Source organism: Homo sapiens, chromosome 17 (genome assembly GCF_000001405.40).
Source record: "Homo sapiens chromosome 17, GRCh38.p14 Primary Assembly".
Classification (NCBI taxonomy): Eukaryota; Metazoa; Chordata; class Mammalia; order Primates; family Hominidae; genus Homo; species Homo sapiens.
This window is the reverse complement of record NC_000017.11, coordinates 12706554-12731390: the sequence shown is the minus strand read 5'-3', so window position 1 is coordinate 12731390 and position 24837 is coordinate 12706554. Positions and strand designations below refer to the sequence as shown.

The 24837-nt window shown below is 42.1% G+C and overlaps 1 protein-coding gene across 5 annotated transcripts in view; it reads right to left on the bottom strand.

Annotated features, from left to right (window-relative positions):
* MYOCD (myocardin) overlaps positions 1–24837 on the bottom strand; it is a 103060-nt gene that overhangs the window by 37559 nt on the left and 40664 nt on the right. For 4 of the 5 annotated variants that reach the window (NM_001146312.3, XM_005256863.1, NM_153604.4 and 1 more), the window contains exons 3-5: positions 15817–15872; positions 13970–14045; positions 8383–8544 (exon numbers count right to left, since the gene is read on the bottom strand). In NM_001146312.3, the coding sequence (NP_001139784.1) occupies positions 8383–8544; positions 13970–14045; positions 15817–15872 (294 nt within the window). Of the gene's footprint in view, positions 1–8382; positions 8545–13969; positions 14046–15816; positions 15873–20852; positions 20897–24837 lie in introns of all 5 variants that reach the window. The other variant, NM_001378306.1, reaches the window with a different exon arrangement.

Sequence of the window (24837 nt, the reverse complement as noted above, 5' to 3'; positions counted from 1 at the left end):
AACTGGTTGGTCCTGAGAGGTTCCTTCTGGGAAAGCAAAGGCGGCCCTTCCTCAGAGTAGGAGGAGTGTGGGTGGAAAGGCTGGCATGCCACTCCCTCTCCTTCCTGGTTCAAGCCAAGCCCATGCAGAGAGGGACAAAGGTCACCTTATCTGACTGCCTCTGGAATGACCAAGTCTCCTGGCTCCGTGGTGTGACCCTGGGCCTCCGCTCCAATCTTCCCCAGCATGAGGCTGGCTGGGAGCTGATGGAGAGCGGTGTGCTGGCTATTGTCCCTGCAGACGCGTCGGGGCTGTGATGACAAGGACCTGCTTTGGGAAGCCCTGACATCATCCTCTGGCTATGCTCGCAGGACTGGCTCTGGGCACTGGCCCCTTGGGGATCTTGGGCTGGTGACTCGGAGCCTCTCCTCTCCCTCTTGGAAGTGATCAGATGAATGAGTCAGCTGTACTTTCTTTGCATAAACATTTAAAATGCCAAGATTAAAGCAAGATAATTGGAATCCTAGTTACCTTTCTGTGAAGACCCACACCAAGGGCAGGAAACCATGAAGTAGAATATGAAAATGCGCCTCCTTCCTTATCAACCTGTGAGCTGGCCCGGTCCACTGCAATAGAAGCTATTTTAAATCATGGACAGACTACCTCCTGACATCCTGGAAGAGACTGAAGCAAAATTTGTGTCCTAAGGGAGAAAGTCGTACACAGAAAGGTAGCTATAGTTTCAGTGTAGCTGTTGCCTAAAGACATTTGCATAGATTTAGCATGTCATAGTCTACAGACTGATTGGACTATCTAACCAAAGTCAGAACTCACTGCTCTGGAAAGCGATCAGATGCTTTTATTATGGAAATGGCATAATAGGTAGATGTTGGAATGACTAATTTTTTTTACTCAGATCCCTGGCACTTTAGAAATTTGCCTTATGTCTTTTTTTTTTTTTTTTTGAGATGGAGTTTCGCTCATCGCCCAAGCTGGAGTGCAGTGACGCGATCTTGGCTCACTGCAACTTCCACCTCCCAGGTTCAAGCGATTCTCCTGCCTCAGCCTCCCAAGTAGCTGGGATTACAGATGCCTGTCACCATGCCCAGCTAATTTTGTATTTTTAGTAGAGATGGGGTTTCTCCACGTTGGTCAGGTTGGTCTCGAACTTCTGATCCCAGGTGATCCACCACCGCTCAGCCTCCCAAAGTGCTGGGATTGCAGGCATGAGCCACCACGCCTGGCCTTTTTTTTCCTTTTTTTGAGAGATAGGGTCTCACTCTGTCACCCAGGCTGGTGTGCAGTGGTTTGATCATAGCTTACTGCAGCCTCAAACTCCTGGGTTCAAGTGATCCTCCTGCCTCAGCCTCCCGAGTAACTAGGACTACAGGCATGCACCAGTATGCCTGGCTAATTTTAAATTTTTTTGTAAAGATGAGGTGTCACTATGCTGCCCAGGATGATCTTCATGTCTTTTGATACACCTGATCCTAGGGCCACACAAGTCAGGAAAAGCAGTTAACCTGTGTAAATACCTGCCCTGCGTTGCTCTTGAGGTGAATCCTCTAGGGATGAAAAATAACATTAGGCAAGGCGGGCAGATCACGAGGTCAGGAGTTCGAGATCAGCCTTGCCAACATGGTGAAACCCCATCTCTACTAAAAATACAAAAATTAGCCAGGTGTGGTGCCACGCACCTGTAATCCCAGCTACTTGGAAGGCTGAGGCAGGAGAATTGTTTGAACCTGGGAGGTTGCAGTGAGCAGAGATCGCGCCATTGCACTCCAGCCTGGGCGACAAGAGCAAAAACTCCATCTCAAAAAAAAAAAAGTGCTTTATCCTGTCTCCCTTTTCTCTTTGACAGGATGCTCCTCAGCCCCTCCCAGAGCCTCAAGCTGCCCTCAGATTTCTAGAGGCCTCTCTCCAACTTCAGCTCCCACCTGGGCATGCCCTGCCCACCTCTCAATGATGCCTGAGATGGCTTCCACAGAGGCAAAGCCCTTACTTCACAGGGCGGCAGAGGCAGACTCCAGGCACTTCCTTTCTCTCTCAGCGCTCACCCTTTCCTCCCGCCACTCCCACACGCTCCAACACTCCCAGCTCCCTGATTCTCTTGCCCAACTCTTTCCCAGAACCATCCTCAGCAAAGTATTTGTCACGTATGCCTCAGTGTGTTTCTTTACCCCAAGGGTGGTTTACTCTTTGGAAATTATTTCTCATGATGGAATGATAGATTTTGTTCATGAGAAAGTTATGCCAAAGCAAAATGTTCTTTTTTATGCCAAAGCAAACAGCCCTACCATCTCACTCAGGGCCATGGTTATTATCTAGCTGCCTTCAAAATGAACGATCAGAGAGGGTGAAGACTTTTGGTGTCTCTGAAGAATGACTAGATTCTTAGTGAATAGGAGGGTTTTGTTATGAAGTCTAAGCGTGGGGCACATTGGTGAGCAGTGACTAGCACAGGATCTTTTATAAATGTAAATGATAGAAATGGGTGACTTCTGGACCAGCCCCGGAGGGGCTGAATTATTGCTTTCTACATGAAACGGTCATGGTGATAAAAAGAACAAATTTAGGTTTGACAATGGGGCTATATATTCTAAATCACGGGTTCTTTTTTTAAAAAGACTGGCTGGGCACGGTGGCTCACGCCTGTAATCTCAGCACTTTGGGAGGCCAAGGCGGGTGGATCACCTGAGGTGGGGAGTTCGAGACAAGCCTGACCAATGTGGAGAAACCCCATCTCTACTAAAAATACAAAATTAGCTGGGCATGGTGGTGGATGCCTGTAATTCCAGCTACTTGGGAGGCTGAGGCAGGAGAATCACTTGAACCCGGGAGACAGAGGTTGCGGTGAGCTGAAATCATGCCATTGCACTCCAGCCTGGGCAACAAGAGCGAAACTCTGTCTTAAAAAAACAACAACAAAAAAACCTGACTCAGGTGGGAAGACTGGCCCAGTCCCATGAAAAGGTGAGAACACTTTAGGAGAAGATGCTTGTCTTTTGGAGCTGAAAACCTGGGCCCTTCTACTGTTGGTAAAGCTGGGAAGGCCAGCCTGGGTTCTGTTTTACTCAAGCCAGGAGTCAGACATCTGGACAATATACGACTTTCGTGGGAGCTAAGGGATGTTCACGTTAAGTGAAGAAAATGCTCTGATGACCAGCGAGAGAATTAACAAGCTAGAAGTAAGCCTGTAGGGGTCTCAACACAGAGGGATATTTCAGTAATAATTACCACTCATAAACTGAGCAAGACCATGCTAAACTCCAGGATATCATTTCTGTTCTCATGAATCATCGCTTTCATGTAACACAATGCTTTTGGTATTCAGTGTTCTGGCCTGATAAGCGGTTTTCTACGAAGGCGAAATAGGCAATGAGGTGCATGCTCTCAGATACAGCCCCGAGGAGGACCAAGTCCCCTATTACCCTACAGAATGTCATTTTAGGGTGATGAACCTGTTTTTTTCCCTCCACCTGGAAACTGTAAGACTCTATGAATTCAGAAAGTCAACTTGCAGCCTGGGAGTGGGATCAGAAACTGGTACTCAAGAGGAGAGGGGAAGAGACGCGGTGCTTTCATCCAGCTGACTGCAAGAGGGATGATGTCTGGGAGTAAGAAGGAAAATCCCAGGGTAGGGACAGTCCTCTGTCAAAAATGTCCTTCCCTGTGTTGGGAGAGGTTCTAGATTCTAGAGTTTCTATTGCAGGGTTGGAGAATTGTTGGTCCTTAATGAAGTTTGGAGGGAGGGAGACAATGAGTAAATGATCCTCTCAGAGCTTGGCAGAAACTCAGAAACACAGCTGCAGAGAGAGCTGGAAAATGTAAACACATCTGGAAAGGCACGTGGACAGGGGAGGGAAAATACCCAGAGGCTGGAAGAATGATACACAGTGCAACCACAACCAAGGGAGAAGATATGATCACAAGAAGTGACATACAGAATAGTGAGCTGGGTCACCTTCGCCATTGGAAGGACTATAGCTGTCTCTATAGCTGTCTCTAAATGCGCTCTCTGTAGCTGTCTCTAAGCAACTCTCTCTGTCTTTATGATATTCCTGTTCACCTTTCCCCTAAAAACTCAGGCACATTTAAAGGGTCATTGCTAAAGAGGCTGATGCGTAGATGAGTAACAGGTGCTCAATTGCCCATTACTGCTGTCCACTTTTGGATTTTTCTTGGATTAAGTCACCCTGTATCTTCTGCCTCTTTCTCTAGCCATTCCTTTTGTTTATTAGTCACAGATTCCCTGTTTCTATGTTAAACACTACTGCGTGGGAGCCTCATTTTAGACCTCTTCTCTTTTTATACATCCTAATTCCCCGCAACTACCTTCCTCCACTGGGCGCTCATGATTCTTCAGAGAAACTTAGAACAACTGGGAGCCAATACTGTCTACTACTTGAGGCCAATAACTTTAAAATTCAGGAGGGGAGTGAGAATTTTTAGTAATAGGTAAGTTGTACAAATTAAGGAGAAAATTTGAGTGGACAAATAATCATGGGCAAAATTGAAAAAAACTCAAAGAACTACTCTTGGAAAAGGCACTGGTTTCTTAATTTCCTTGGTTTCCTACGATTTTAGTAAGCAATGTTTTAAAGCAACCAATCATTATGATCATATTTAAATGCTTCCAGAACATGAAAAAATATGAAAAGGTAATCATAAACTATTTTGTGAAGTATGTGTAGGTTTGACATTTAAATCTGAAAAATAAAAAACAACATAGACCAGCATCATTTATGAATATTGTGGCAGACAGGACTAGCTACTTATCAAAAACCAGGATCCCCCTTCCATAATACAGAGGCAGTGCTGGAAATGGCTGTTCAGCCAGAGAATACCTTTCTCAGCCATTTGTACTGTTCTCACAATGGAATGTGAGTGGAAGTGATGTGTTCATTTCCAGGTTGAGATTTTTTTTAATAAGTGGATGAAACTTCTCATCTTTTCTTCCCCCTTTGCTGGATACATTCAGAGAATGACAAAGCTCTAGGGCAGAGAATGGCAAACTGAGGCCTGTGTGCCTGCAGCCTGTTTTTGTAAATAAAGTTTTATTGGAACATAGTCATGCCTATTTGTTTACTTACTGCCCATGGCAACCTTCCTGCTACAACATCAGAGTTGAGTAGTGACAGGGGCAGTCTCAAGTATTTATTATCTGCTCCCTTAAGAAAAAGTGCCACCCTCGCTGTAGGGAATGATGGCGCAACAAGACTGAAGGAGGCTTTTCATGGAGGAAAAGCCTCTCTGAACTCTTTCTAAGCAAGAAATACACCTTTCTTGTTAAGCTGTTGAAGTTTTGTGGTTTGTTCCCCAGCCAGCATTATCCCAACTAATAATGAAATAGATGCAAAATCCCAAATAAAATACTAGCAATTTCTAGAACCAAATTTATGACAGATTGTTTTCCCCTAGAAATTCAAGGAAGATTAGGAAAGGTAGCAATATCACATTACTTGGTCAAAGAAGAAAAGCCACCTCATCATCTTTTGATATGCTTTAAAAGCGTTTAAAAAAACTCAACATCTATCTTGCAAACTACTCTTAGTGGGATAGGAATAGAGAAATACTTCCTTAGAATATCTATCCTATACCAAAGGCTACATCATATACAGATGTGAGTGACTAGAAAAATCCGATTTAAGAGAGAAACAAAACAAAAATGTATGTAATCATCAATATAAGACATTATAACATAATATAAAACATACAGCAACACTAATATAATATAATACATATAATATAATATTACTTTTGAGGCACTGGCAAGGTATCAATAACAATAGTATTCCACTATGTAATATATCAATAATTATTAAATTATATATTAACATATTATTGTATAATATAAACATGTGCTTTATATAATTCATACATATAGTTTTATATATAAGATAAACATCTATATGATATAGATATTTTGTATAAGATATATATTATTTGGTTTGCATAATATAGTATAGTATACTTTATAATATATAATTTATATAAAGTGTGTATAATGCATAAATAATATATACTATATTCATAAATAAAATACATAAACATGACATGTAATTTATTTTATTAATATACTACATAGATTTTTAGAAAATATATTAATTCTATAATATGCTAATCATGTTGTTGTCTTTCAAGTACCAGCCAGTGAACCAAGGCAGAAAATAAAAATGAAGCAGAAAACAAATTTCCATTCCCTTAGACCTGGACAACTTAAGATAAACTGAGAAACTGTTGGAACTATTAAGATCTTTGACACTGCCCAGTTATAAAATAAATGTGCGCAATTAATAGGTTTCCCATATATCAGCAATAATCAATGTGACTTTACTTAAAAACAACAAACTTTGCAAAGGGAAATAAAAAAAAGACTTGAATAAGTGGAGATAGATACTATGGAAGAATTTATAAAATTATATATTTTAAACACATGAATTCACCATAAATTAACATATAAATTCAGTGCAATCCTAAACAAAATTGCAATAGAATTGAAGTTGACACAAAAAATTGATTCTAATTTTCACTTAAAATATACTTGCAAGAGTAGCCATGAAACTTTAGAAAAATCAGACAAATGTAAAGAAACTTGTGAAGACAGATATTAACACAAATTGTAAAATAGATCATAAAATTGTGATAAACAAAAAAATTAGACCTCTCTCTTAAACCAACCACTTAAATAGTTTCAGACATACTAAGGATTTAAATGTAAAAATAAAAGTATATAGATATTACAAGGCAATCTAGGTGAATAAACTCTATATTTTTAAGTTAGGAAATATTTTCAATAAAAATGAATTCAGAAAATATAATGAAAAAGATGAGCGGATTTGACTATAGATTAATTAGGAACTGCTATAGGTAAAATTGACCATATAAAAAAATAAAAAGTGAAGGACAAACTGGTAAAAGGATGTGAGATACCTGTGACAGATGGAGGATTAGCATTTTTTCCCTATATAAATAGCATACACAAAGCAGTAAAGCGAGAACATGCTCAGCTTTCTTTTTCAGAGAAAAAGTCATGTATTGCCAACGATACATAATCACAAGGAAAAATATAATCTACTAGAAACCAAAGAATGCAAATTGAAAGGAGACCTTTTTCCTATCATGTAAAAATAAATCTTAAATTTACATGCACTCAACAAAAGAAAAATAAATAAATAAATTTACAGGCACAGAACAGAATGTTTTAAGAAACAATAAGAGATGCCTGATGGAGATTTTTACCTGCCCAAGAGCTTATCAGAGTAAACATGGTGGCAGTGCACTCTTGAATACTCAAGGCCAAGTTCAAAGGCCCCAGATATTTAGTGGGGAGGGAGAGAGTAGATGAGAGAGAAAATCACAGTGGGATATTTAAGTAGACACTGACAGACAAGTATATTGCCTCTCCTGGAGTTGATATTTTCATATTTACCAGTTCCAAAGGCAAAATTCATGTGGCCTCTGAATCGCAGGGTGAGAGCAAGATTTTAGAATGTGAATAAACTTGATGACAAGTTTTATAATAAACTTAGTTTTGGATAAAATGCCCTTACACCTACTTTTTGACAATGTGTCAAAACATTTAAATATACACTGCTTATTAATATCTACCAATAGTTCTCAGAGCGGATTGCGGCATAGCTGGAGAAAGCTAAGTGTGTCTGTAGGAGCATTAAGCTCCCCTTTCTCCCTGATACCATAGTTTTCCTGGGTTCCACCCCAAAGCCTCTATGAGTGAATTCAGTACTGGCAGGCTGTTTGGGTCCACCTAGTATCAGTTGTTCAAAAAGTCTACAAAACGATGTTATACAGTTTATAACAGAATCAGTATTTGTGTCTCCTTTTTGAGTATTTGTCCTTTGACTTCGTGGAGCAAGTGAGAGCTGTCAGAGTTTTTACATGTACTGTTTACCATGAATTTCACTCCCAGGAGCCTGTGAGCTGGGTAGGGTGAGTACTGTCACCTCCATCTCAAGGTGAAGTGAATTGGGCAACTGGATCTAGGGTCCGGGTTTTCTAGTCTGGGGCCAGTGCTCTTTCCGCTGATACAGTCTACCTCTCTTTAAACAAGGAAGGCTAAACAGGACCATGACTGTGACTCCTAAGTAATGGATGTCTTATAGGGGAGATGTTTTGAGCATTACACCTGGTCAGGTTCTCAACTTGCCTGACTAGAGCAAAATTACCCTGTGTTGACTTGGCCTTGGGGTGTACAAGAATGGGGATTGCAACAAATGCCCAGGATCCCTGGTTATGGAGAATTAACTGGACTAACAACCCATGGTATGGCTCTTATCTGGTGAGAGGCCCTCATCCCCAAAGATCCTAGTATGTCAGAGCTCCGGGCTGCCCTCAGATCTCAATAGCACCAAGGAGAGACATGCCATTTGTTCTAACTACCTTTTATGGCCTCTTTCACAGCAGAATCCACAGGAAGAATGTTTTTTTCCACCAGCTCCAGTGGCCCTGGTCGTAGAGCAATTTTTTCATTGAGATCATCGGCGAGTCGGGCTCTTTTCAGCTTCATCTGAGCAGTTGGAATGGACCTCTCTGCAGTGGAAGCTAAAGGGTTGAAATGAAAAGGATCAGTTCTAGAATTTGATGTCTCTGTCTCTCTCTTTTTTGTTTTTTGGCTTGTGGTTACAAACGATTGTGTCACATTGTGCTCTACCATCCTAATAATTTTTCGATGCAATCATCATCACTTTACAGGGATTAGCACCAAAGCCTAGACACTTCCAAATAAAGGCAAATCGAGAGGCACATGGAAAAGTTAGAGAAGCTTGCTTTGCGAGGATTCGTGAAAAAATGTACAATTTGGAGATTTTGTAAGCAACCAGTCTGCAGGGCCTGTATTGTTTGCCTAACCCTAAGCTATGGCACTTGGATGCACATTTGGTCTGCATAGTGACTGGCACAGGCTAGGCCTGCAGTAAATGTTATCTGTTGTTATAATTAGTAGTACTAGTATGACTTTTAAAGGATTTTGGACTAGTCAATGCTGTGACCGACTGAGTCAAATGTCCAGGTCAGTTGCGAAAGAAAAAAAATTCCATTGAAACAGTTATTTAATTAAACAGAGGGATTTTTAAAAGTTGAATTCATCCACAGGCAGTTTCTCATCATTTGGAGGGTGTGAAAGGTCACGTACAGAGCCTTAAATCCACTTCGATACAGCTGACACCAAACTTCCTTTTTAGGTTGGGCCCTGACTTATTTCTGTGGAAGAACTCAGAAGAGAATCCAGCCAACTTATTGCTGTCATGGAGAACTGTAAGTTAAGATTCTATAAGAGTTTGCACCTTCACTCTCAACTTCATAAATCTAGAAAGTGAGATATTTACAGACAAGTCCCTTAGCCCCCTTATTTTATTATTATCAACCTGCTAATCCCAGACCCTGTGTCTGGCACTGATCTAGAACTCTCCATACAGAAGAAGTCTAGGGATGTCTTATTGGTTGCCACAGGCTTGGCTGTGGAAGCTGCCTCTTCAAAGCATTTCACATTCAATGGAGGGAATGTCAATACTCCAAACCAAAGAATGGGCATACCAAAGCCCATGTCCTCTCCAAAGCACCCCTTACAGTTCCTTGCAAGGGCAGCTTGCTGGCTCTCTGCCTCAGCCATCTTTCTGACTCATCCTGTGTACCAACTCAGGACTGATCTTCAGAAAGCCCTCTTTTCCTCTGGTGCCTCCGTACAAGATGCTTCCCACCATCCACATCTCTCAGTCCAGTTTTTCAAGACTGCTACAAATTTAATCTACCTCCTGCCATGACCTGTGGCTCTCCAGCCCAAATCTACCATTCCAGAGAGCCTGGTCCTTATCCTTCTGTCCTCTATGTCTTGCTGCATTCACCTTTGCACCTTGGCTTATTTCCTTTCCCCACCTTGAACTTCTTCCCCACTCCCCATTACCAACATCGTACTTTTGGGTCCCAGCATAAGGCTTTCCTAACTCTTCCTGTTCTTATAGATCTCTTTCGCTTTGACTGCCTCTAGCAGTTACAAGGACAAACCCTTCATCTTGTTGCCTCTGAAACTGGGCAATAAATTCCTGGGCAGCAGGAGTCATTTTGTATCTAGCAGATCTTTTATGCTCCAAGAAGCTAATTCCCAATTTCTGTTGACAAAAGAGGACCCCATGGGAGGCACCAGAGACATGCAATTGAACTGGGGGTTGGTGCAGTTCACACCCTGTTATTTTAATTCAAGACCGTAATGATGGAAGAAATAACATTTCATATGTTTTTTGATTATAGCATTACTGTGTCCTCATTGTCATAAATGTGAAAAATGCTAAAAAAAAAAAGTGTGCAAAAAAAAATGAAGGCTTCAGGAAAATCCCTACTTAGAGTCACCTATTTTTTTTTTTTTTTTTTTTTTAAGACAGAGTCTTGCTCTGTTGCCCAGGCTGGAGTGCAGTGGCGTGATCTCGGCTCACTGCCAGCTCTGCCTCCCGGGTTCACGCCATTCTCCTGCCTCAGCCTCCCGAGTAGCTGGGACTACAGGCACCCGCCACCACGCCCAGCTAATTGTTTGTATTTTTAGTAGAGATGGGGTTTCACTGTGTTAGCCAGGATGGTCTCGATCTCCTGACCTTATGATCCGCCCGCCTCGGCCTCCCAAAGTGCTGGGATTACAAGGCGTGAGCCACCGCACCTGGCCGGTGTCACCTATTTTTAAGACCTGTGTGTCTTTCTTAGTTATTTATATTGATTGGTAGGTTTATGTTTTTCTTCCCAGAATCTGACTATGAATATAGTTTAAGTATATAATAAGTATATAATTTTTCTTCCCAGAATTTGGCAGCAAATATAGTTTTGATTTTTGCTCTTTTTCCTAAACATTGTCCTGTAAACCTTTTCTCATTAAATTACTCTTTGAAAGCCTTGTTTGTAGTAGCTCTATGGTATTGAAATGGGTCTGTTGTCTGGGATATATACCTGGTTCTTTGTCATGGTCGAGAAAGAATTCAGGACAGGGATACACACGAGGAATGGGTTTAGGAGCGGAAGGTTTAGTAGAAAAAGAAGAGAGAGAGAAAAACCTTCCACATGCTGAGAAAGCGGATCGCCCAAGAAGGGTCTCCGGTTTGTGGCAGAGAGCAATCGATTTTGTACAGAGGCTTGAGGAGGCGGTGATTGATTTACATAGGTCCCAGGGGATTGGTTTGACCAGTTGTGTCATTTACATAGCCCCTGAAAAGACTGGCCCTCCCACCCTAGTCTTTTATTATGCAAATACGGCCTCCACTTGGAGGCGGCCATGATCCCTGTACATGTGGTACCTGGAGGCTGCCATGACACTGGTAAACGTGGTGACAAGGAAAAGAGCGGGAGACGCCATTTTCAATATTCCTGGCTTCCAGGTACAGCTAACGACATTTACATATAAAAGCTCCTAGTCTGCATATCTATTTCAGACTGCTTTCTGTCAGAGAAGAAATGGTTTGGAGCTGCTATTTATTAAAGGAAAATTCCACCGAGAATTCTTTTACCCTTTCTAGCTGCCTAAAATTTTTTTTTTTTTTTTTTTTTGAGACTGAGTCTCGCTCTTGTCACCCAGGCTGGAGTGCAATGGCACGATCTCGGCTCACTGCAACCTCCGCCTCCCGGGTTCAAGCGATTCTCCTGCCTCAGCCTCCCGAGTAGCTGGGATTACAGGCACGTGCCACCACGCCCGGCTAATTTTTTTTTTTTTTTTTTTGTATTTTTAGTACAGACGGGGTTTCATTGTGTTGGCCAGGCTGGTCTCAAACTCCTGACCTCAGGTGATCCGCCCGCCTCGGCCTCCCAAAGTGCTAGGATTACAGGCGTGAGCCACTGTACCCAGCCTAAAAATAATTTCTTAATAACTCTTGTATTAGCATTAAATTGTATGGTTGATCCATAGTTTATTCAGCCAATCCTCTATTGTTAGACATTTCACTATTTTTCACCATCTAAAGTAATTCCACGATAAGCATCATTGTGAGATAAATCTTTGTCTGATTATTTTCTTTGAATAAAATACTAGACATTATATTATGAGCTAAAGGGTGGGCACATTTTTAAGGAGTTTGATACAGGTTATCAAATTGCCCTCCTGAAAAGTTGATCCAATTGCACTCCCACCAGCAGTGTATGGGAACGCATGTAACTCTTGCCACACATGATACTTATTTTTATTTGTTAACTTGATCACTGAAAAGTCTGTATGTCTTTTTTTTTTTTTTTTTTTTTTTTTTTTTTGAGACAGAGTCTCCCTCTGTGGCCCCGGCTGGAGTGCGGTGGCGCGATCTCAGCTCACTGCAACCTCCGCCTCCCAGGTTCAAGCAATTCTCCTGCTTCAGCCTCCTGAGTAGCTGGGACTACAGGCGCCCACCACCACACCCGGCTAAGTTTTTGTATATTTAGTAGAGATGGGGTTTCACGGTGTTAGCCAGGCTGGTCTTGAATTCCTGACCTCAAATGATCTGCCAGCCTCAGCCTCCCAAAGTACTGGGATTACAGGCGTGAGCCACCACACCCGGCCTGAAAGGTCTGTATGTCATTTGAAATGACATCGTTTGGATTTTTGTGCAGCAGTGATTTTTGTGCTGACATAGCAGCTGCTTCTAGGCTTGTAGACACCATTGCAAAGGAGGTAAGAATTCTGTCACCTCCCTTTGAGGGACTTTTTTCTGTTTTCCAGACACCTGGCATCCTTTGGCTGCCTCACGCAGATCAAAGCCTCCCATCCCACACAGCCTTCCCTTGAGTTCAGCATTGGCCTCTTTCTTTTCCCTACCCTGAAAACAGTTCTCCGTCTTAAAATATCCCACCTACTTTAGGGTTGAAAAAGGGTCAGTCTTGGAAAGCCAGAATAAATAACAAATGATGTCACTCAAAGAACCAAGGTTCACAATTTCCAGGATATATTTCAGAGTCTTTCGTGCGCTTTAAAGCTAGTGTTCAGTCTTGGAAGGAAATCCACATTCTAGAGAAATAGCATGCAGGCCTTGTGCAGGCTGTTCCCTCAGACTGCGACCCCCTTCCATCTTTTTCTACCTGGCTCAGCCCTCACGTTCCAGCCCATTTCCTCACTCCTCCCCTGTCCATTCTGATTCCGATGGCTCTTTTCTTTGATCCTCTTCCATACACCCACCACACCAGGCATTTCCTTTCTTTTCATGCTGGATTGTAAATGTGATTCTCGTGTCCTCTGTTATACTGTGAGACCCTCTGAGGGCACAAACCTGTGTCTTATTCATCGTTGAACCCACTGGCCTGGCAGAGCAGCCAACTCCTAGCAGACACCCAATACAGTGTGTGTTCAAGGAACAAATATCTCATAGGTAACTGTCAAATTAGGGATTGGACCTCTTTTAGGGTGGGCACCAATGGTCTCGGGGATTCTGTCTCAGGGAAGGCAACTTATGAGGCGGGAGTAGAAGCCACTCCTCCTGCATGCAGATGTCAGAATATGGGGACCAGTTAGTTGTTTGTTTGCCTTGTCTCACATACCCCAGCACAGAGGTGGCACCCTAAGGCAGAACTAGGCCTACTTTGATCAGCACTAATTTCCTCAGATTGTATTCCCTGCACACCAGAAGGTAAAGGCATCAGCAAAGGACAATCAATTACCTGGAGAATACAGAGGTAGCAAGGGAACTGTGATCCTCTTCCAAAGTGAGTGATGATCCAGATTAGTAATAATTGTCAGCACATGTTGGACGTGTTCCATGCACTCCTAGAAGTTATGTGATTTGCCCAGGCCTTAGAGTTAGGAGATCGCACAGCTGAGATTAGAGCCCAAGTCTCTAACCCGCTTAACCATTTTATGGCTTCCCAACTTGGGTATCTACGTGGCCTAGAAGGCTTAGATGATTACTTGAAACTACCACTTTGTAACGGCAAGGGAGATTTTTAAGAGGGCTTAGCAACTGTACAGAGACAAGTAACTCTGGGAAAATGGCCCACCATTCTGCAGCATCTCTTGGTGTCTGATTTCTTGCAGCCTTACCTTGGAGTATGTGCATATTAACCAAGTCGGCACTGTTGCACCTGTTTCTGGCTTTGCGCTTCAGGGAATTTTTAGCCTGTAGAACCCAAACAAGAGAAATCACCTAGTTTTACCTTTTAAAAAACTCAATTTATCTCACAGGAGAAAATAACCTTTTAAAATAATAAATGAAACATGAAAATATTCTTGGTGTCCCACATTTTGATGAAGGAACATTTCCAAAGACCCCTCGAGTAATTTTTAGATGGGAAAATAAGATAAGAAGGTAAAGAGCTTGGGTCCACATCAGGGCTACAAACCTAAAGCTTTTTCAGGGACAGGCAGGTTGGTACATGTTAATAACATGTCACTATAACAGAACACTAGGCTGTTTGTATTATAATGAATCTTATTCCATTGCCTTTTTTTTTTTTTTTTTTTTTTTTTTTTTTTTTTTGAGACAGCATCTCTGTCATCCAGGCTGGAATGCAGTGGCACAATCAAAGCTCACTGCAGCCTTGACCTCCTGGGCACAAGTGATCCTCCTGCCTTAGTCCCATGAGTAGCTGGGACCACAGGCATGCATCACCAAACCCAGCTAATTTTTTTCTTTAATTTTTAATTTTTAGTAGAGACAGGGTTTCACCATGTTTCCTAGGCTGGTCTTGAACTCCTGGACTCAAGCAATCTGCCCACCTCAGCCTCCCAAAGTACTGGGACAGCCATGAGCCACAGCACCCAGCCTCCATTTCCTCTGAAAACAGTCACAAAATTAACCAAGACCAGAGTTAAAACATTGCCTAAATCCATCTAATATAACATGACAACGTATGCCTCTTTCCCGTTATTCGCTTGACTTCTCTTTTAGGACATGTGAAAATGTAAAGCCTACAGATTCAGACCCACCAGGAACTGGATGGGCATGAAGAGATGGGTTATCTACCCAGTCTCATTACCTTCTTGATGGGGCTGTCGGTAGGGCTGTTACAGGCTGTGGGAGGGCCAACACTGGACCCCAGGTTTCTGATGTCTAGTTCTGGGTTTTTATCTCACTACAGTGGATCTCCCAGTGGCCCCCTGAGAGGGGTCTGGGAATCACTCCAGTTCTGATAAGAGTCTGCTGTTCTTTGTTATTCTCCAGGTAGTAGGAATCACAGCCACTTGTGAGCTACTTTGAAGAGTTGCAGATCCCTCCTCTTCCTCTCTACCCATAGACAAGCTGCAAGGCTAGTACTCTCAGGTAAGGAAATACCAGCAGGCAGATACTCTCTTTGCCTTTCCTTCTCACTCAAAGTGTTGATACTTGCTAAATAGTATTTATTAATATATTATTGACAAATTCAAGTTGCAGAGATTTGTTATGAAGGTACAGAATATATGCCAAATCTCACCCTCAAATGTTACAAAAAAAGAAGGGAAAAAAGCAAAATAACCTTTTGCCTTTAAGTAGCTACAAATGAGTTCTGTATGCATAAACCATGCCTTACCCTTGAATTGGATTTTTTAAAATCTGATTGTTGTTAAGAAATGACAGTAATAACAGGTAAGGCAGCTTGAAAACCGACTCCACTTCCTTCTCTAAAGTGTTTTTGACTCCAGTGCATCCCTACTGTAATTTCTTCCAACATTAGAAAAATTGGGGACATTTTTTAAAAAAGCTGAAAAATAGGAGTTTCAAAGCTAATATAGTTGATCCTATTTCTATAGTTACCGGTTAATAGGAGTAAGATTCCACATGATATGAGGGCAGGGGACTGGCAAATTGATTGTGTTTGTTGTAGGAATTCTACACGCATCCACCAAGGATTAGCATTCAGAGATTCATAACCTATAGTCTAAGCTTGGGTCAAGAAATTTGCAAAAATTACCTTGTCACTATCCAAATGTTTTCTTTGCTCATGGAATTCAGCTGGACGTTTCAGTGCTGAAACAGAAACACAAAAACGTGAGTGGAGGCTGGGTTAAGGGCATTGGTCTGTATCGCAGAGTTTGCTGGTGTGCTTGCTGAGCTATGCACAGTAGGGAGGTGATTGCCTTTATTAGGCCACAAGCAATGAGAGAGGACAGGCCTGGAGGACACCAGCGGCCCTGAAGCCGTAGGAGACAGAGGAAGTGGAATCGAAGCCTCAAACGGGGAGTAGCAGAGGCAGGATGTGCAACAAGAAGAGAAGTGATGGAGGCAGGGCATTCCAAGTTCCGGAGGAAATAGAAGGGGTGGTGGAAAACTGAAAACAGAAATAACGCTCTGGTTTGAGGGAGAGGTGTAGACTTGGGTAACTACCACCCTCTTTGACTTTGCTCTGCCCTAGAGTGCAAAAGGCTTGGGGGATGACTGTGGTCTGTGTCTGTGGGGTGGGGTGGTGCTTTGGAGGAAGGGACGGTACTCTGGATAAAGTGTGTGGCTGGTAGGTCAGGAACATGCAACTAAGGGTGTTGAGTGAGAAGCAGAGAATCAAACTTTGAGGGCTGGAAGGAACCTTGGAGACAGGGAAGTTAACTCCAACCGTGAACAGAATGGGGAAACTGAGGTCCACAGAAATTGACTGACTTGCCCAGGATCAGTTAGGGCTAGGAGCATAGGTCCTGTGACAACTCTAACCTCTTTCAAGATGTGATATGTAAAATATTAACAACCAGTAGACACAGGCACTGGTCAGTCATACAGAACACACAGCAGCCGTGAACAACCTGGATGGAATGCCAGCCTTCACTCTCTTCCCATGACCTCCTCCTCATCACCCTTCATAGCACCTCTTATGGGGATTTAATAAACTCCTTTGAGCAAAGAAGTAGAACATCATTTTGCAAAATTCTACATTTTGCCTTGATTTTCCTAATCTAGAACAATCTCAATCAGGAGCCACAAATAATCACTTTTCATGATTAGTGATGAGGTTGATTAGCAGTTACAGACTTGCATTGATTTTTTTTCCCCTGAATTGTATGTCTGGACAACTTGAGGAATCACATGATCCCGAGTTCCAATGTTACTAGAACAGTGGTCTACTGTAAGCTGCAGGTGATGAAATATTCTTCCAAATCTTGGCCAGCACAAAAATTAGGTTTCTGACCAGATCGGGGTGTGTGTGTGTGTGTGTGTGTGTGTGTGTGTGTGTGTGCACGTGCCTCATTCAACCCTTAAGACCATGCTGAATCTGAACATAGTTTTCAGCAGGGTTTGCTGGAGATCAAGCAGACATAGTTGTAGTCATGACGGCTACCATAATGGTAGTTGGCCATAGTATCCTCTTTAAGGATGCTGCTTGGGGAGTTAACAGGTCACGCTCTCTATAAATCTCCCTGTTCACCCCAACATTAACAATGTTGGCTGAAGGAACATGCAGAATTGCCCCATCTGGCTTCCTTGTGCCAAAAATAGTTGACAGGCATCCTTCTCACTTTGACCAAAGATTAAGAGACTTCCCTTCTTATAGAAAAAAAAATGAACATGCTTCTTGAATACCATTGATCTAGAAATTGTTTTTCAGTTATCTTTGCTTTCTGCTTTTTACTCTTAAAATGAGCTTCTCTGCAAAACCTCCCTTTTTAGATGACCCTTTTCTCCCATTTCTCCCAACTCAGTGATTCTGAGAAATTAACGTGCAGCTGTCCTGTGTTGCGCATGCATTTTCTTTGAGTTGGGTCTGGTCATCATCCTTAATAAGGCTTGCCTTTTCCTGTGTTTGATCGCAGGTGGAATTTATGTCGAGGGAGTTCTGCAAAGCAACTCCCTTTCCCCCTAAGCAACCAGATTATGATACAAAGTCTGCTTGAAGTCCAGCGGGCCATTGTGGATCTACACAATCTGTATCAATACCTCTGTCCTATCTCCTGGTAATCATTTAGTTAGGTATTGTATATTAGTGTAGTTTAATTACTTACATAACCCAGAAAATGAATGGATCTTCGTGTGGCCTTATTAAGTGGTTAAAAAGAATAACATGCCCTTTTCCTCTAGAAACTCCCTGAAAGGATTAGCATGAATAGATCTTGGGATATCGCTGACATTCCAAACACAATTGGTTTTAACTGGGCTTGGGGTTTAGGAGGAATTTAATGGGTTCTCATGTCTCTGAGGCTGTTCAATTCTTATTAGCAAAGCTTATTAATTGTTCTAAGAAACACTGTATTTCCTGTATCTCAGCTTCGTAGAACTACAATTCATCACTTCTTGGTGTTAATAACTCCCCTGTGAGATGATTCACACGGTCCAGTTCTCTGATGCCAGGAGCACAAAGGTCTTCTGGAACCTTCTGCCACAGGGTGGAAGAAACTATCTCCATTTAGCAAGCACTTGGGAAGAAAGCCAGAGAGGTTCACATGCTGCATTTTACCACATGCTCTTCTCCTCAGAGGTTAAGGGGTGTTATATGGGCCACTGGCTTGAGGTCACACCATGGAAAACTATCCTGCCATGGGCCTGGGGTTGAGGTTTGCTTTCTCAGTGACTTCAGAGACCGTGGGTTTTAGCCACCTCCCATGAAGGCCAACAAAAGCAATGGAGCCCCCCACCTCTCAGTTGGGTTTTTGGAAAATACACAAAAAACCACTTCTGCTGCCAGCCTGGGGAGTATCAAATGGCAACATTTTGTATTTAAAGAACTTTGACTTTTAAGATTGAAAAGGAATTTGGATTCTAAATTTTTAAAAAAGTCCATGTGATTTTGAATTAAAATACTGTTGTAAATTCAGTCAGCCACACATCTAACTCATTCTCCCTGGAGGAAGATTAATGGCTCCTCACAAGGGAATTTGTGTTCTTGCCTCAGAGTTTTGTTGTGGGCTATTCCTATTTCTGTCCCCAAAGCTATCGCTAATTTGGGTCAGCCGAGCATATAAACATTTGCTGACTTAGAACTTAGAAAAAAGATCCCAAGATAAGAACAGTCTTCCTGCAGTCCTCTGCTCTCCACTGTAACCTCGTGCCTCCAGCAGGATCCCAGAAAAAGGAGAAGACAGGTCGTGGAACCACAGAGAACTCATTGAAGGCAGGGGCCTCACTCCTCAGCACAGGGTAGGGTCCCTGGAGTTGGGCAACTCCAGCAACAGAAGCAGGGGCTGTACCTGGTGTTGGGCTGTGCCTGGTGCAGACCCTGACTTCTCTTAATGGGACCATTCAGCTGCAGGCTTGGAGCAATACCAGATCCATTGCTACTAAGAGGACCAAGAGGAAGAATTAAAGAGCCAGAGACTTGGGGCGGCAACGAGTGCAGCGTTCTCTAAGTGCAGCTTCCGGACCAGCATCTTCAGCAATTGGGAACACGTTAGAAATTCCAATTCTTGGCCGGGTGTGGTGGCTCACACCTGTAATCTCAGCACTTTGGGAGGCTGAGGCAGGTGGATCATGAGGTCAGGAGTTCAAGACCAGCCTGGCCAAGATGGTGAAACCCTGTCTCTTCTAAAAATACAAAAATTAGCTGGAACCCAGGCGGCAGAGGTTGCAGTGAGCCAAGATCGCGCCACTGCATTCCAGCCTGGGCGACAGAGTGAGACTCTGTCTCAAAAAAAAAAAAAAAAAGAAAAAAGAAATCCCAATTCCTGGGCCCCAACCCAGCCCCACAGAATCAGAAACTCTCAGTAGAACCCAGGAATCTTTGTTTTAACAAGCCTTCTGGGTGATTCTGATGCAAAAGCTTCAGAACCGCTGTGATGGGATTTCTAAGTCCAGTGGATCTTGATCTAGGGGTGTTGGGAACCTAGGACTTCAAAAATGGAGCAATGAATCATCAGGACTGATTTTCAGCATTTCAAGAAGCTGAAGAGAAAGAGTATGTCTGTCCAGAGAAAGGCTGCTTGGACTAACAAAGCTGTCACTTTTCATTGCTCCTGCCTGGAATCATAGCAACTTGGTTTAGTTACGGTTGTTCTCATCAACAAGCACTAGCTGGTAAATTTATATACCATTAATTAGAAAATTAACTCAAAAACATAAAATTAACTATTTAAAAGATGCATGGATTAATAATTAATGCATGTAGGATTCTTTAGGTGGACAGGGAAGACAATACTATTTTAAACATAAGACCTATGGCAGTGATGGGTAGAATTAAAGAAGTCCTGGGTAACTAAATATTTGGGAACCATCCATTTGAGCTCTGTTCTTGCTCTGCCATCTACTTTTGGTATAACCTTGAGTAAGCCTGAGAGTTTTCCTGTGCTCTCAGTTTCCCACTTATAAAAATGGGCCTATTCATGTTTGTCTTCTCTCTGTCTTGGTTTTAAAGACAAATTGGGTCATGAGAATTTTTTTTATATATATAATGATAATGCTTTGGAGATTATATTTTCTTTTATGCTTGGAAATAAATTGCTAGTTCAGTACTCCAATGATAGTCTTAAGGGTCTGTTACCCCAATAATAGTCTCAACAGTCTGAAAACAGTGCATTTTCCCAATGTAGCTTTCTAATGTTCAAGACCTGGCTAGCATACTTGGAGAATTTGATTGCAACATCTGTGAACACTTTGGAATTTCTCAGAAGGAGGGTACAAAGACAAATTCAAAGTGTGCCTGTAATGACTAGTTTTCTAGTTTCTAAGGAACAGGGAAATGGAAAATTGAAGGAGAGATGGGGGAAAAGAAGGAAGGTCAGATTTTTGACCCAAATGGGATTGACATGAAAATCCAGGGCACCTTTTTCTATCTCTGAATTTGAGATGTTAGAAAGAAGGGAAGAGGCAGACAGATTAATTCCCTTGCGCCGTGTACTGCTCAGACAGCCGACAGTGTGTGGTAGGGTGCTGTGGGGGAAAAGCCAAGTCAAATGAATGCACTGAGAAAAGGAAGAGAGACTTTGTCCAGTCAACTTCTCAAAACTATCGTGAAGCTGCATGTGATATGGGTGCGGGAATTGCCCCGGTCATTCTTCTTGCTATTCAGAAGTACCACAAAATTCAGGGATTTACCAAGGTTTTGCAGTAAGTATGTGGCTGCTGTAGCTTGGATTAGTCTGCAAAAAAAATAAAGGCAGCACCATTCATAGACAGCTCATTGTATCTTTAAATTCATTTACATTGATCAGATCATGAAACCAAGCTGCCCAGACATTTCATTCTGGCCAGCAGGGGCTTTCTCTGAGACTCTGTGGACACGTAGCAGCCTCCCCGGGCCCCGTGTCCTCTCAAGTCCACTTTAGATCTCTAATCTCATCTTCTGTATTCCAGGAGAATAAATTAAACCTTCTTTCATCTCTCCCCTGGGTTAAACATCATAGATTCACTTTAGTAGCAGAGGGAGACGGAGAGGAAAAAGTCATCTTTCCTTCAATCTTCCTGGATAGCCATTCCCATGTAGTGGTGTGAGGTTGTCCAAAATCATTAAATGGGATGATTAAATGGGGGTGGTTTGGGGCCCCTCCTAGACTGGAAGCGCTTTGAAACAGAAGTTGAGTCTGACTTCTCTGTGTGTGTTCCCCAGAGCCTTTCTCACAGCAGAGGATTAATAAAGATTTACTGAAATGCTCTATGACCAGTTTATTGAGTCTGATTTACATGGCTGGTCATCTTTCCACACTAAGTCTTCAGAAGCGGTTGGAATAAAATGGTGTTATTTAAAATTTTACCCAGGAGAGTGATACCCAGGGAGAAGAATTGCAGGAGAGAAAATTTGCATAAGAAATGATGAACAGGCCCAATAGGTCTAGGGAAGGAGGTGGACTCTCTGTCCTAATGCCACGAGAATGTAGAGAACCTTGATGTTCTCTTGCAACCTTGAGCCCAAAAGGGTGGGATAGTGAAACCATTTCCTATGAATCCTGGTTGATGATGGCAAAGTAGGCAATTTGAAATCTCCATATTGAGATTTAGAGGTGAGATTTTGGAGATAAATCTAAACAATAAGTCCTTTAAGTAATATTTCTAAGTTAACTTTGAGAGACTATTTTATTAAGGTTTCATGCCGAGTTTGAAAATGTGAATTTCACAACTGCCATTGTAAATGCACCTGGTCTGAGAACCCTTAAGTTGTTCCAGTGATTCTGTGCTGGCCTCAGAACCCTGCCTGTCTTGACTAAAAGTCAAGAGATGGTGCCTTTAAATTCATTCAAAGCATGTAAAGAGGGAAATTAGCCTAAACTCATAATGCCCACACATAAGAACAAAGTGAATGTTTAAGAGAAGTGATTCATGGGGATTATAAAAAACAATTTGTTGCTGGTTGCTAACCACTGTTTATTACTCAGCAGCAACCTCAAACCCTGCAGAATGCATGCCCAGGAAAAGGGAAGGAAGAAAATTTCAATCCATTTGGATTAGTTTCACTAGAATTACACATGATTCACCTCATTAGAGTCAATGGGGGAGGAGCCTCATAATTTAATTATCAATTTGGAATGCAATTGAAGGGAGACCTGCCATACAGCTAAGTCAGTGAAACCTTTCATTCAATGCTCATCATGGCGAAACATAGATTATGATGTAGAATCTGAAGCCATTGCATTTAAATCATTGTTTTATCTTTGGCATTTTCGCACGACACACTTTTGAAATTTTCTAAGTTCTAACTGAATTTTTTGGCCATAAAATGCCTTATGATAGCAATATAAGTGGTTTTAAAGGCCAAGCGATTCATTTTGAACGTTTGAAAAAAGGAGCCTAGGCGGGGATCAGGAGACACAGGTTCTGGCCTCAGCTCCTCCACAATAGGAAGGGGTTGCATGTTATCCAGGGGATAAGCCCTGAAGATTTAACCTAATGTAAAACTCAAGACTAATTGGTGGCAGGTGCTTCTGTCGACCAGTTAAAAATAGTATTGCTGGCCAGGCGCGGTGGCTCACGCCTGTAATCCCAGCACTTTGGGAACCCGAGGTGGGTGGATCACGAAGTCAGGAGTTCGAGACCATCCTGGCCAACATGGTGAAACCTGTCTCTACTAAAAATACAAAAAATTAGCCAGGCATGGTGGCACGTGCCTGTAGTCCCAGCTACTCGGAGGCTGAGGCAGGAGAATGGCGTGAACCTGGGAGACGGAGGTTGCAGTGAGCCGAGATCACGCTACTGCACTCCAGCCTGGGCGACACAGTGAGACTCTGTCTCAAAAAAAAAAAAAGTATTTCTATTTGATAAGGACAATTAACAGTTCACTTGGCCATCAACTTTGAGTTTTGACAATTTATGACATGTTTAGAAAGATTGCAACTATTTCAAATCTTATGAATAAAGCAAGATTTTATGAATAATTTTATCTGGCATGCATTTACATTCTCATCAATCAAACTGCAGAAAATGGGACCATATTAGATGTAGGCTTTGGGACATCTGAAAAACCTCTTAGGCCTCTTTAACCTCAGTTTCATGAACATTAAAGACAAACAGGGACTGGGGTAGGTCAGGGGTTTTCAAACTCTATTCTGAAGAGAACCAGCACTGCAGAGAGAATTATCAGGGGGCTTCTGGAAGGGACAAGGAGAGGCCCAGTAATTGGGGCATAGATCCTTGACACTGCCTCAGCCAGTGCATATATATGTATATATGTATACACACACACACACATATATATAGTGCATAAGACGTAACAATTAAAAAATTAGAAAATCACAGAATTAGGTAGGCTCTGAGGATGATTAACTTTTCTTCCTCTTTTCCTTTCTCCTTTTCTTTTACTTTCTGTTTCAAAAAATTTAAATAATAGAATGAAAAAATAAAGTCTTCTTGTGTAAGGTAATGAGTTGCACACTGGATTATGCTTCTGTGTGCTTTTTTAATTTTTATTTACTTATTTATTTATTTATTTTGAGACGGAGTCTCGCTCTGTTGCCCAGGCTGGAGTGCAGTGGCGCGATCTCTGCTCACTGCAAGCTCTGCCTCCTGGGTTCACGCCATTCTCCTGCCTCAGCCTCCCGAGTAGCTGGGACTACAGGTGCCTGCCACCACACCTGGCTAATTTTTTCTTTTTTTTGTATTTTTAGTAGAGACGGGTTTTCTCCGTGTTAGCCACAATGGTCTCGATCTCCTGACCTCATGATCTGCCCACCTCTGCCTCCCAAAGTGCTGGGATTACAGGCTTGAGTCACCGTGCCCAGCCTGCTTCTGTGTGCTTTTTATCAGCTTTCCCCCTAATATCTTGACTCTCTCTGAGGGACCATCTTGCTTATTATTGTTGTCCCTAAAGTGCCTGGCATGGTCCCGTGTACATAGCCTGGTTTATAATAAAATTTGTTGAATTATATTGAATTGAAAATATCCTGAGGCCCTTGGTTCCTCTTTCCTTCTCCCAATTGTTTGCATTTAGACATGTTTCCTTAGGTGCCAGAGGAAACACACTGCTCTGCTGAAATGCATGTAGATTGCATGTTTAATCTCTGATTGGACTGAAGAGGCTAACCATCAGCAGGTGAAGAGATGCATCCTATCTCTAGCTTCCTGAGAAGAGCTAAGTAGAAAAGGTCTGTACAGGCAGGGCCTGCAGTGTGCACCAGCCGTGACTTGGACACTTTTCCACAGCAGACTCTACACTCTTGGAAAGCCTGGTTGAAAGGAGGTAGCTGCAGATTGGGGAAAACCTTCATCATAGTGTGTGATTTTAAAATGCTTTATTATTTCATGATTTGTAGGATTTTTTTCTAGAAATTATCTTAATGATGCCATGGACTAATGATGCAAAATTTCTAATAAGTGGTATTTTGTTAATATGCATATTATTTGATTCTGGAATTCCTGGGGAACAAAATATTATATTTCATTGGACTCTACTATACAAATGAACATTTGATTTATATAACTTACATGATAGGTGTTATTTTACAATGTATGCTAGGGTTAATTACCATCTTCATTGGGTGTTTTTACTAATTTTCAGATTTAACCCCGTATCCCTCCAAAAATATTTATTCTCAGCCAAATGCCAGCTGCAAGACCCAGGCTCAGAGTATTTAAGCACATGAGTCCAACTTTA